General features: G+C 38.0%; 1 protein-coding gene across 4 annotated transcripts in view, besides 1 other annotated feature; it reads right to left on the bottom strand.

Annotated features, from left to right (window-relative positions):
- The window catches only part of OTOGL (otogelin like), a 281344-nt gene that overhangs the window by 195731 nt on the left and 71585 nt on the right, over window positions 1-14028 (bottom strand). The window lies entirely within an intron of this gene.
- Window positions 6032-6091: a silencer, noted in NCBI's record as "silent region_4684". NCBI's record gives its function as "represses an Ori minimal core promoter by ATAC-STARR-seq in GM12878 lymphoblastoid cells {active_cell/tissue: GM12878}" and the evidence as "EXISTENCE:reporter gene assay evidence [ECO:0000049][PMID:35858748]".

Below are 14028 nucleotides of genomic sequence, written 5' to 3'. Positions count from 1 at the left end.
TATGTCTCATGCTCCACTTTAGGATGCCATTTACATGTGTTAACAGAGCATTGGCATCCGGGGCAGTGTCTTGAATCAGGAAACTGTGTTGCCTCCATATATAGAGGATAAATTAGTAGGTTGAAGAAAAGATATACTACTTCGTTTTTCTAAAATTAAATTAAATCTATCTCTGAACCCCTACACATCAAGGCAGATGAGTAACAGTCCAATACTTGTCATATGGGAGATGCAGTTCCTCCTCCCATGACATCATACAAGAATACTGACTTATAAGATGCCAGAAAATAAATGGGAGGGAGAAGCCAAGGAGCCACGTTTATTTTTGACCCTTTTTGTCATCCAATTTGCCTGGTATTAGGCAGCCTCAAAGGGGCTCCTCCTTTTGTCTGTTCATGAACTCAACCAATGAAATCCTCAACACCGATTCAGTGGCACAGTTATTGGAGTCCAGCCTTCCTGGACACTCAACAATTACATGACTCCAGCACTATGGGCAACAGGGGCCCACTCAGATTATCTCAATTTTAGGAATGCTCATTACTCTCTCCCCTAAATAGGGCCATTATCTTCCTCCTCCCAGCCTTAAGAATCTTCCCTTTCCTAGAAAGTCTAGCTTCAGACTTTAGAAAACAATTTTTGTCTATTAAATTGTCAATGAGGCTAATGAAACCCAGATCTCTAAGACGTAAAACCTTCTCAGTATGGGAGAGAAAAAAATACGTCTTTTACTATCAACTCCTTTACATTAGCTAGAATGAAAAATATTAAGATATATATTATTCTGCCACTTAACTATAGTGGAAAAGGAAAAAATTAAAGTGATGTGTTAACACTAAAAGTGTCTTGTCTTCTTATATAGCCAGAAGTTAAGCCTGGTGTGGCTAATGTGTTTCATCTAGCCTGATAACTCATTGCTTAGTAGAATCTGCCTGAAGCAGAGCATTGAGAAATAGTTTAAGGTCATGACTGGGTTGAACAGAAAAGGGCTTGCCGTTAGTATAGGAAACGGAAATGCAAGGCCACATGCTACATATTTTCCATTCCTAGTTTAAACATAAACTACAGTTTTGCTTACTAAGCAAATTGATCTAGTCTCAAGTACCATAACTATGGGAAAAAGGGACCTATTTGAAGAGAGAACACTCTAATATACATAATAATCACCCATAAAGAGTTTCTATAAAAGAGTCCCACATCCAGATATTATAATTCAACAGCACTAGTAGCCAGGAATATATACTATTAATGAAATGTCCCTAGGGAATCACGATGCCACTTGTCCAATGACTACAATTTGAGAAACACTCCTATGGAGCAAGGGTCCTATTTGTTCATCTCCATCTGCCCTAATGCCTCCCAACAGCCAGCTGAAGACCTCCAACCTGCAGCCCTAACCTCATTCATCCCTCGGCCTATCCTAACCTATTTGGTAGGATGGTGCCAAGCATCAATCTTGATGCTCTAAAGCTCATGGAATCTTACACATTCCTGTGTCTTTTACAACTACCAATGTGTTGGTGACTATGAAGTCTATGGCTTTGGCCCATTCTCTTTCTTGAGCTCCAGATCAACACATTTAATTGCCTATAGGTAAGTCCACAAAGACTACAAACTTAGCATGTCAGAAACTAAATTGAACTCATCATTTCCTAATATACTCCTCCCAAAAACATCCTGATTCTATCTCTATTATCCATTTTAGTAGGTGATAGACGTAATTATCCACCTGATTTCTCAAGACCAAAAGAAACAAAAAGCCAAAAGAACTTGGAGTCATCTTAAGAGTCCTACTACTTCAAATCTTATATCTATTGTTTCAAATCTGAGGAAACATAAATCACAAGCCCTTGAATTATTGCTGCTATTTGCTGAGAGAGAGAGAAAGGGAGTGAGAGAGAGAACATACTACCTCAGTAGGACTGTCATCTCCAATCTAAGCTATTGCAGTAATTACCTAGTTGGTCTCCACAGTTCAGTGATACATGTTTATGCAGTGTGTGCTCTGCACAGTCCCTACACTTGACTGTTGATGAAGGCACCAATTGTATTGTAAGCATTATATATTTTTATAAAAATTTTCTCACTTTTCAGTAAAATGTCTGTTGTAAGGTAATTATTGATATAAACATTTTCCAAAAAATGAAGTAAAAAGTAACTTGAGAGAGGGTACTCTTTTCTAATTTGTACAAAAGTTCCACATGGGCTATCAGCAGCCTTGGGTTTCCCTGATTCTAGACTTTCTCTCTAAGCTATTCATGCATTTCTGCCGTGGTGATCTTTCCAAGTGCAAACTTTATTGTGGTTTTCCTTCAATAAAGTACAAACATCTACATATCTGCTTCAGCCTACCTGCTGATGTGTACTCCCTATGCTTCAGCCATCCTGAGCTTCTTACATTACTCAAATGTATCATTGCACATATTTCACATGTGCAATTCTCTCAGCTATTGATTCCAATCCACTCCATCCCTACTGCATTCTATCTGAAAAATTCATAATCTTCCTTCTAGACCAGCACAAGTGTTTCTTTCTTTGAAGGCTCTCTGCTACCTCCTTCTCTACCCTGGAAAAGCCACCTATTCTCATTTATGCCTTCAACCAACCTCTATGTCAATTGATCACACTGCATTACAATTATTTTTTTAATTCATCTCTTATAGTAAGCCAGGAGCTCCTTGGTTTAGTATAATCATGCACTATTTAACTTTTCATTTCCTATGGTGATGCAAATTGGTATAGATATTTTAAAGGAAACTTATTGGGTCAGTTGGATTTAACTGGCTCTATTGCCTGCTGTCTAGCATGCTGGCAAGTTTTCACTTTGAGCTGTGATGCTTTCTGCTGCATTTGCTGAGTCGTACCAAGCCTCTGTTATAGATTTCACTGACATGAGTAGGAAGTTTTGATAACATTTAGGGGCAAGAATATGTGATTGGAGCTCATTTAAAGTATACGTCTCTTTAATTTTTTTACCCCCTTTTTAAAAATTGCTTTTGAGACAAGGTTTCACTCTGTTGCCCAGACTGGAGTGCAGTGGCGTGATCATGGCTCACTGTAGTCTCAACCTCTGGGCTCAAGCAACCTCCTGAGTAGCTGGGACTACAGGTCTATGCCACCACACCTGGCTACTTGTTTTTTATCTTTTTGTAGAGGCAATGTTTCACTATGTTGCCTAGACTGGTCTTTACCTCCCGGACTCAAGCAATGCTCCTGCCTCAGCCTCCCAAAGTGCTAGGATTACAGATGTAAGCCACCATGCCCAGCCTATGTAAAGTATATGTCTCAATCAGGCATTGGCCCTAATTCTATAGAATGCTCAGGAGAAAGAGAACCTATGATATATACAAGCCTACTTACATTGTATACAAACCATTTATATTTGGTCAGTTATGCAAGGAAGAGTAGTCACCATGTGGCATGCTGCAGTCATACCCCTAAAGCAGATAGGCTCACTAGGACCCTACGAAATGCCTTTGCTGATGCTGTTGCCTATGACTTTACAGCCAAAAAAAAAAATCTTGATCCTCAGGGTTATGTAGAAAACACCTATGATACTCCAACGGTACAACCAGGGATTAATTCAAACCCAACTTAAACCTCGAGTCTCTAAACTCTATAAAGCAAACATTGCCATGCAGGAGGACCCTAATCCTGATGACAATGATTGGAGACTCCCTAGGGGAAGAAACTTACAATACCAGCATAATAGAAAAGAGAACACTTCACCCCCACCAAAGTATATTCAATAACCACCAAAGGGGGTGGGCCAGTCTGCTGTAAGGTAATTATTACAGAGAGAGAGAGAGAGAGAGAGAAGTAAATTTAAAAAGAAAAATCTAAATACAGGGGTAAGGGGAGGAAACAAAAAACTGAAACACAGGCCCACAATTGGACCCAATTGGAAATTGAAGCCCCAAACTAAAATAATTTATACAATAAATAAAAAAAAGTATGCTAATTGGTTTTTATGCTTCTACAACAAAGGATCTAAACTAATTGTAATATCTGCTGAAATGTACCAATTGACAAACCTTCATGCTCATAATAATGGAGCTCAAACTAGTTATACCTGGACATACTGCTAAATTTGAACAAGATAACCTCTTTGCCCTAAGGGAAGCTATTGAACATGGACTAGAGGTCAAACCCATATGCCTCACCTTAACCACCAGAACTACTGCCTTGTCTAAATTCCCCATAGTTACAGCATACTGATAACTCTTCCTCCAAGGGCATTCATTTGACACACTCATTCAGGAAATACAGATCCTCACAAAGAGGTTCACAAAAAGGGGATGGATCATTGACCCATACATAACCTTATACAAGCTCATGGCACCTTGGTTTAATTCCTGAAAATTATTTGGTAAACTACCCCCTCCTTGACACTGTCAGGGCCACTCCATCCTTGACACTGGCAAAAAAAACATTATTGGCCCTCTCAGTACCTACAACACTAAAACAAGCTGAACACCTTTTAGGTCTTTTGGATTTTGAAGGTAATATATTCCTCATTTTAAAATTTAAGCCCATTTACACGATTTCTCACAAACTGACCCACCTTAAATGGGGCTTCCACAACAAAAGGCTCCTTTCTCTGTTTAAGTACAATAGCACTGCCCTTAGTGTTCCCCCACAGACTCCTTCACTGCAGAGGCCTTTGCAAACTCCTCTCATACCTGTTAGAGTTTATGGACCACATATGACATGATGGCCAAAAGTTGCCCATGGGCTTTTGATATTAAAAATTGCTCTCCTCAGCTACATGCTAAATACCACTGGAGGGGAAGTCACTTGCCACATACTAGGTCATCCTAGGCCCAGAGCCTATGATCCTCCATATCCAGATGGCCATTATGCCTTGGAATATGAAAGTAGCAACCTGCAGATTCATCTAGGCCCAGAGCCTATGACCCTCCATATCCAGATGGCCATTATGCCTTGGAATATGAAAGTAGCAACCTGCAGATTCATCTAGGCCCAGAGCCTATGACCCTCCATATCCAGATGGCCATTATGCCTTGGAATATGAAAGTAGCAATCTGCAGGTTCATCGTGGCCACCAAGGCCTCCTTACTAAAATAGTAATAGCACTTGTAGGATAAAACCAAACCTTGATACAGCTTAGACTACATCTTCTGGCATATCCCACCTGCAGGATACAGTGGCTTCTTTTGTCTTCGATCTTTGTCAAACTCCATAGTTCTGGAGGAGGTCACTCCTCCTCTCACGGAGTGTTTGGCTACCTATGGGTCCCCTTGAGAACAACTGAGTGAACAGCAAAAGGAGTTTGTATATTTCATGGATAGCAGCACCACCAATACATGATGGATGCTCACTGTAGAGCTGCTGCTTCAACCAGGATGTCCCAAGTCAAGGACAGGCAAAATTGTCCAAGAGTGAGCAAAACTGGCCAAACTTCATGCAGTCATCTAAGCACTGAATGCCCTGGCCACATTTTTTCAGGCTCTCAAGCCAACACCAATGGTCTGTCCAACTAGTCCATCAATGATTCCTTATTCAAAGATGCCTCCATTAGGGTAAAGAACCCTGGGAATCTCTTGCCTTAAAGGTCTTACATGTCTCTGCACATACTAAAGCCATGACATAAGTCCTCATTATAACACTCTTTATCCCCTTTGGAGTTTGAAACATTACTTGAAGTGACCAAGGCGTTTAATTTTAGGTTCCTTATTTTTTTTAAAAGGTATTTAAGAAGTTTTCACCTCCATTAGTGCCCTCAGGCTACAGGCCTTATAGAAAGCCATAATGACTGATTTACATAAGATCAAATTCAGTTTAATGAAGCATGGCCCATTTTCTTTCATCAGTCAACATCAGGAGTGAGTTATAATTAAGAGCCTGACTCTATTTCTAATGTTTGTCTGCTGATGACTTTCAAGTGTCACCATTTGCCCTTCTCCTGTCCCACATGTGAGCACACTAATAAGAAAGCTCGAGTATTCCTTCCTTTGGCCCCAGCAGGAAGTTCAGACCACATAAGCCTGCTCCAGTGAGATGTCACTTTACCCCAGCCCCCACCGCCCCCATCACAATAAAAACCAAGCCAGTCTCCTTTCCCCTGCTTTCACAAACTATTTTCAGACCTGCCTGAGAGCCTGCCTTACTCTTCTTAGAAAGCTTCAATGTGTCAGTAATAAACCACAACAGTTTCAATATTATATTCCGATTCTCTACTGAGCTTGGAGTCTTACCTAAAACTTCTACCTCAAAAGCAATAATTAAAATGAAAGAGTCCTTAATTTCCACACTAGGCAGTGAGAAGTAGCTTTCAAAATACAAATGTACAAATGGCAAAAGATAAGGATAAAAGAACGATTTATAAAGTTAAATATTCCTTCTGGCTCTGGTAGTTAGGGTACCAGAGACCAGATTTAACTCCCCAGTTGGAACAACTAAAAACCTGTACAAAATATATGAAACATACTCAGATACTGTACATCAGGCAACACAGGACAGTGATAACTGAGAGAGGACAAACTGTGTGGTAAGCATTTTGATTGTCCCAGCTTACTGCTTGTGTAGGGAGAGAGCACCCAGGTATAGCCCGTAATCTCTCTAAGTTAAGGAGACAGGACTGAGAGGCAGGGAAGGCCAAGGCATCTAGAGTTTATATGGAAAAGTACTAAAAAATAGAGAACTACAGAAAGATCTGCAAAAGGTGCCTCTTGAGTATTCATTTGAGTATTGATTTGTGCATGTTTGGAAGTACATAATACCTGAGGTTGGCCAAAACAAAAGCAAAACCAAAAATACCATATAAAAGGCTGGGCACAGTGGCTCATGCCTGTAATCCCAGCACTTTGGGAGGTCGAGGCAGGCGGATCACTTGAGGTCAGGAGTTTGAGACCAGCCTAGCCAACATGGTGAAACCCCATCTCTACTAAAAATACAAAAATTAGCCGGGCATGGTGGTAGGTGTCTGTAATCCCAGCTACTTGGGTGGCTGAGGCAGGAGAATCACTTGAACCCAGGAGGCAGAGGCTGCAGCGAGCCGAGATCACACCACTGCACTCCAGCCTGGATGACAGAGACTCTGTCTCAAAAAAAAAAAAAAAAAAAAAGAAAGAAAGAAAGAAAGAAAAGAATAGAATAGAAAAAACAGAAAAAAACTAAAAGAATTGAGAGAACAATCTCCAAAACTCATATAAGGCTAGAAATAACTCATGTTTCTGTAAGACACAATGAAAAATCTTGTAATTCATAGGGCATCAGCTGGAATATTCAGAAGAGTATTACTGCAGTAGTGGAGAAAATTAGCCCTAGACTAAAGGTTGCTCTGATTCATCCTAACAAGCTTAAAAGCAACCTCAAAAGGACAAATATAATATGTGTAAGACCTGTACACTGAAAACTTCAAAACATTGTTGTAAAAAAATTAAAGACCTAAAGAAATGGAGGTATATACCATATTCTTGGATCAGAAGACTGAATATTGTTTAGATATAATTTCCCCCAAAATTGATCTATAGATTAAATGTCATCCCAAACACAATCTTACTGGCTTTTTTGTAGAAATGCAAAAGACATAAGATCACCAAAACAACTTTCATTTAAAAAAAAGGATAAAGTTAAAGATTTGCAATCTTGATTTCAAGATTTATTATAAAGTTAAAATCATTCACACAGTATGGTATTTGTGTTAAGGCAGACAATGAGATCAATAAAATGAAATAAAGAATCAAGAGATATATCATACATATATGGTCTATTAGTTTTCAAAAAAGGTGCTGAGGCAATTCAATGGGGCAAGGATAATCTCTTTAACAAATGGTGTTGTAGCAACTGGATAGCCATGTGATTAAGAAATGACAACCACCCCCTTACAACCTATACAAATGTTAACTTGAAACGGGTCGTGGACCTTAAATTAATAGCTAAAATTTCTAGAACACTTAGGAGAAAATCTTCATTCCCTTGGTTTTTGCAAAGATTTCTTAAATATAAAAAGACATGAACTATAAAATTATATTTTATTTCATCAAATTTTAATACTCTTTAACATTGAGAGGAAACATTTGAAAAACATTTCTGAAAAAGGCCTTTGATCTATATAAACAATATATATAAACAATTTTTACAACTCAATAAGATAAACAACCCAGTTTTTAAAATAGGAAAAACAAAAGAAGATAAATGGATGACAAGCACATGAACAGATGCTTAACATCATTAGTCATTAGAAAAATATGGGTTAAAATCAAAATTACCAATCATACGAATTGTTGGCAATGATGGAGAACAACAGGAATTTTCACACAGTGCTTATAAGAACGTAAAATGGTACAACCCCTTTGGAAAAGAGTTTGACAATTTTTTTAAAAAAAATTAAATATGCAGCTACTATATGACCCAATGATTCTATACCCAAGTTTTTACCCAAGAGAAATGAAAGCATCTAACTACACAAAATATATACATTGATGCTTACAGAAATTTACTGTAATAGCCAGAAACTGAAAACAACCCAAATGTCCAAATATGTGACTGGATCAACAAATTGAAGTATATCCATACAATGGAATACTACTTAGCAATAAAAAATAATTGGTACATGCAAGGATATGAATAGATCTCAAAAAAATATATTGAGTGAAAAAAGACAAAAAAGAGAACACACTGTATATATTCCATTTTTATAAAATCCTAGAAAATGCAAACTAATCTATAGACACAGAAAGTAGATCAGTGGTTGCCTAGGGAGGAGGAATGATTTTCTAAAGGGAATGGGAAAGAGAGATTACGAAGAGACACAAGGAAACATATGGAAATGATGGAAATGTTCATTATTTTGTTGTGGTGATGGCTTAATAAGTTGTACAGATGTTAAATTTGTACACCTTAAATACATGCAGTTTAACATATGTAAATTATATCTCAATAAAACTGTTTGAAAAATAAGACCAGAGTTTGGCAGAAAGTATCATATACGTGAAATGGACATCAGCAAATGCAGTAAAGCCTGAAAACTTCTGCGACTAGAACTCTTTGAATATTCCTATTAGAAGATGAATACTAGTTGTTCAACTTGGGCAAAAATTATAGCAGAGTAGAAAACTGAGACTCCTACTTCTTTGCTAGCCATCCATAGCTGAAATGGTTTTATCTCCTTTAACGAAGAGTAGTTAGTGATTAGATTTTATAATCAGTCACTGACATGCCTATATTTACTGTTTAAAATCCTATCTGTGCATCACTAATAGCTTTGTTTTCTGTCTTCAAGTCAACCTCAATTCTTCCAAAGTCTCATTTTAAAGAACTTCCTTCAACCATTGTTCAAATAGATATCTAAATCTAAGCAGTCACATTGAAACCTCAACCTTCATATTGGTATAGACAAGAGCTACTTCTAAGTGAATCAGGCAGGATGCCAGTAACCTTGATACTGGTTTCATCACCAGGCCCCAGACAAGAACCACACCTGAAGTGCATAGAGTTGCCAAGTCACTCAGTCTGACACAGGTTACTGGGGAAAAAAAAGAGCTCAGTGTGGGAAAAGCTTATATAGAACCTGAGGATGCATGAAAAGAAGAATTTGCTTTCCTAGATAAAAGAACACACATTCCCCTGTATAAAAATGCGAGTCATGCTTATTCCTTTTATGCTCTGTAATATCTAAGAGTCTTTATCTGCAAGTTTTCTCATAGAGCAAGGCAATGCTACAAGTGACTTCAGTAAATTCACTTGGACCAACACTGATTCACCCTTAGAAACACAGTTCAGCACATTTTTCTGAATAAGAAGTTTTTGCTTTATATTATGTAATTTCGAGTCATCTTAATATGCCACTATTATTTTCAATGTGTGTTCATCTGAGAGCTTCACACCTAAGGATGAGAAATTTGTATAGAACTCTTTGATGATAGGGATCATTTAAAAGCCTTAATTTTTATAAATAGATACTAAATTAAACACTACATTATTTAATTCTAAATAGATGACTCAGACACATCCTTGTTTTTATTTCCATTAAGAGTGTATTTAGCGAAGAGATGATAGACTTACCATCTCTGTGTCTCTGTGGAAAACTGTACTGTTGTGCCTTTGTGTGTTCTATGCTTTTGCAGCCAAATATGTGTTTTTGATAAGACACCCTTCTGCATTCTTTGCCTCTCAGATTGGCAAACACTCATTAAGTTTTTTTTTATTTTAAAAACTTTCCCAGGTATTTTACTCAGTTTTTTTTTGTTTGTTTACCATGTTTTAGCCCTCGCCACTTATTGAAGATAAATGAAATGTTCAGCACCTCGATGGTAATGAGAAGTGGGCAACACATGTATTAAAAAGATTAATTAAGCCACACCTTCAAGGAATATTCTAATCTACATGCATTAAATAATGTCATGTGTGGTGAGGTGCCTTTTCTTCTGCTCACTGGGGAGAAGAATAAAAAGCACAATTTTGGAAAGATGATTAGATATGATATCTTCCAAGATTAAGCTAATACTGTTGGGAGATACATAAAATAAAGCAATAATACCCCTCTGAACTTTAGCCAATATGTTCTCACACAGAATTTCTTTTACAATATTAAATTTTCACAAACCTTCCACAACTTGCTCAAACCTTCAGATTTATTCTAACTTAAAACAATCCTTTAACTCTCTAAACTAGTTCCATCAAAGCCAATTTAAAAAAGATCCTATGTCCCAAGTAATTGTTCTTGCTGCCCTTTATACAAATAATCAGGCCAAGTATAAGACTAAAGCTTGTTTTTGCAAACAAATCAGTCCCATTATGATTTGTCTTTAGTAAAAATGGGAGACTGGCGAGAGAAAAATTCTGTTTCGAAAACTATGGTACACCTGTTATTAGATTCTAGTCATCAGTTGTTTTTAAGGTTTCTTTCCTGTAATTTAGACTAACCCTGCTTATTCCTGTGAATCAACCAGTGAATCTCTGACTCCAGCTCAGAAGAAACAAGAGGGATGGGTAATGTAAAAATCTGGATCAGTATTCTAATTCTGGGCATATGTTGGAATCAGCTAGAGACTCCAAATCAGCATGGTTTAAACAATTGCCCAGTTCGTGGAAAGCCTTCTAATTTGTTTACTTGGGATAATTTTGCTTATTTTGCTTTACTGTTGTGGAATCTATTGCTGTTGTACTCTTCATATAGGAATACAGGATGAGCTTTCTCAATGTTTTCTTAAATTGAACAATTACTAATCTTCCAGATAACACCTTCTGTCAGAACTCAGAGTTATAAATGGCCCTCAGCATACTGACGCTTTCTGACTGAGCTCCTCTTTACCCTGGCTACAAGATGCCCTAATAGTTAGGCAGGAATATCACCGCCCCTATTCAGCGTGAAGAAATTACAGAAGATGGATCTTCATCCCTCTACAACCCTTAGGATTAAGGGTACCCTTGTGAAACAGAAATATGTCAAAGGCATTTGAACCAGAGCAACTCCATCTTGAATAGGGACTGGGAAAAATAAGGCTGAGACCTATTGGGCTGCATTCCCAGGAGGTCAGGCATTCTTAGCCATGGAATGAGATAGGATGTCAGCACAATTTACAAGTCACAAAGATCCTGCTGATAAAACAGCATGAGGTAAAGAACCTGGCCAAAACCTACCAAAACCAAGATGGCGATGAAAGTGACCTCCAGTCATCCTCACTGCTCATTATAAGCTAATTATTAATATAAGCATTAGCATGCTAAAAGACACTCCCACCACCACCACGGCAGTTTACAAATGCCATGGCAACATCAGGAAGTTACCCTATGTGATCTAAAAAAGGGAGGAACCCTCATTTCTGGGAATTGCCCACCCTTTTCCCAGAAAACTCATGAATAATCCATCCCTTGTTTATCATATAATCAAGAAATAACTATAAGTATATTCAGTAGAGCAGCCCAGGCCACTGCTCCGTCTGTGGAGTAGCCATTCCTTTATCTCCTTACTTTCTTAATAAACTTGCTCTCCCTTTATAAAAAAAAAAAAGGCATATGAATCTTATAAAGTAAATATTGATAGGAGCTTAATCAGGACAGTATAACATGACTGACTTTTTGTTCCCCAACTTTTAAGTTCAGGGGTACATGTTCCGAATGTGCAGGTTTGTTACATATGTAAACATGTGCCATGGTGGTTTGCTGCACAGAACATCCCATCACTCAGGTATTAAGCCCAGCATCTGTTAGCTATTCTTCCTGATGTGCTCCCTCCTCCCACACCCCCACAACAAGCCCCAGTGTGTGTTGTTCTCCACCATGTGTCCTTGTGTTTTCATCATTCAGCTCCCACTTATAAGTGAGAACATGCAGTGTTTGGTTTTTTGTTCCTGTGTTAGTTTGCTGAGGATAATGGCTTCCAGGTCCATTCATGGCAGGAGTATCGCTTGAACCCAAGAGGCAGAGGCTGCGGTGAGCCGAGATCGTGCCTGCAAAGGATATGATCTCGTTCTTTTTATGGCTGCAAAGTATTCCATGGTGTATATGTACCACATTTTCTTTATCCAGATGACACCTTTTTAAATACATAGAAAACATAAGATAGGAAAAAAAAAACATAGAAAAAAATCAGATAGAAAAAGGAAAGCAAGCCAATTGTAGGAGGCAATCCCGATGCTCTTCCCCATTGCCCTCCTGACCTGCAGGACTTACCACACCCACCTCTCCAGAACCAACCTATGAGAAGACCAATGACGCACATTACCAAACTTCACTCATGTGATTTACAAAATATAAGGCAAGGGCCTTGTTAACTGCTAGGAGAAGAGCTCTGACTTGGGGCAGGAGGGACATCAAGGACTTGGAGCTGGAACAATAGAAGGAATGAAATGACATAAGAGAAGTATAACATACTCTAGGGGCTCAAAGGAGGTATCACTTCCTATTATGGTGATCTAGGAAACCTTCACAAAGAATATGACATTTGAGGAGGGTCAGACTGATAAACTAGGAAGAAAGGCATTTCAAGTAAAGAAAACAGCCAAAGAAAAGGAACAAAAGCAGGAAATCATACAAGTATGGCTAGAACACAGGGTACATAAGGAAAGTCTTTAAAGATGAGATTGCAAAGGGAGATTGGATTAGAAAATATTTTTCACTAAATAAAAATAAAATATATCAAAATTTGTGAGAAGCAGTTAAAGCAGTACCTAGATAAAAACTTATAGCATTATATGTCTATCTTGGAAAAGAAGAAAGGTCTAATTTTCACCGTAAGATACTAGAAGAGCAAACTAAATCCAAAGCAAGCAGAAAAACAAAAATAATACAGATTAAAACAGAAAACAATGAAACTAAGAAGAATAATAGAGAATATTTATAGAATCAAAAGATAGTTAGTTGAAAAGATCTATAAAATTGAGAGATATCTAGTGTTCATGGACTAGAAACTGAATATTGTTAACAAATCAATTCTCCCCAAATTGATCTGTAGATTTAATCAACTCCCAATAAAAAACCCAGGAGAAGTTTGGTAGATATAAACAAGCTGATGGTAAAATTTATATGGAATAGCCAAAACAATTCAAAACCAAAGGAAGATGAAATTTGGAGGGTTCACAGAACCTGATTTTTCAGACTTACTATAAAACTACAGTGATCAAAACAGTATGGTATTAGTGAAAAGATAAATATCAATGAAACAAAATAAAAAATCAAAAAGAATACCAACACAAACATAGTCAATTGATATTTGGCAATGGTGCAAATGCTGTTCTTTTCAACAAATGGTGCTAGGACAATTGGACTTCCACGTGCAAAACAAAAAAACAAACAAAGAACCTCATCCAGGAGTGGTAGCTCATGTCTGTAATCCCAGAACTTTGGGAGGCTGAGGTGGGAGGATTGCTTGAGGCCAGGAGTTTGAGACCAGCCTGGGCAACATAGTGAGACTCCATCTCTACAAAAAAATACAAAAAAAAATTTAGATGGGCATGGTGGTGCATTCTTGTAAGTCCCATCTACTTGAGAGACTAAGGCGTGAGGATCACTTGAGCCAGGAGGTCAAGGCTGCAGTGAGCTCTGATCATGCCCTGCACTGCA

This window comes from Homo sapiens, chromosome 12, assembly GCF_000001405.40.
Source record: "Homo sapiens chromosome 12, GRCh38.p14 Primary Assembly".
Classification (NCBI taxonomy): Eukaryota; Metazoa; Chordata; class Mammalia; order Primates; family Hominidae; genus Homo; species Homo sapiens.
Note: the sequence above shows the minus strand (reverse complement) of the source record. Positions and strands in the feature narration are given on the sequence as shown.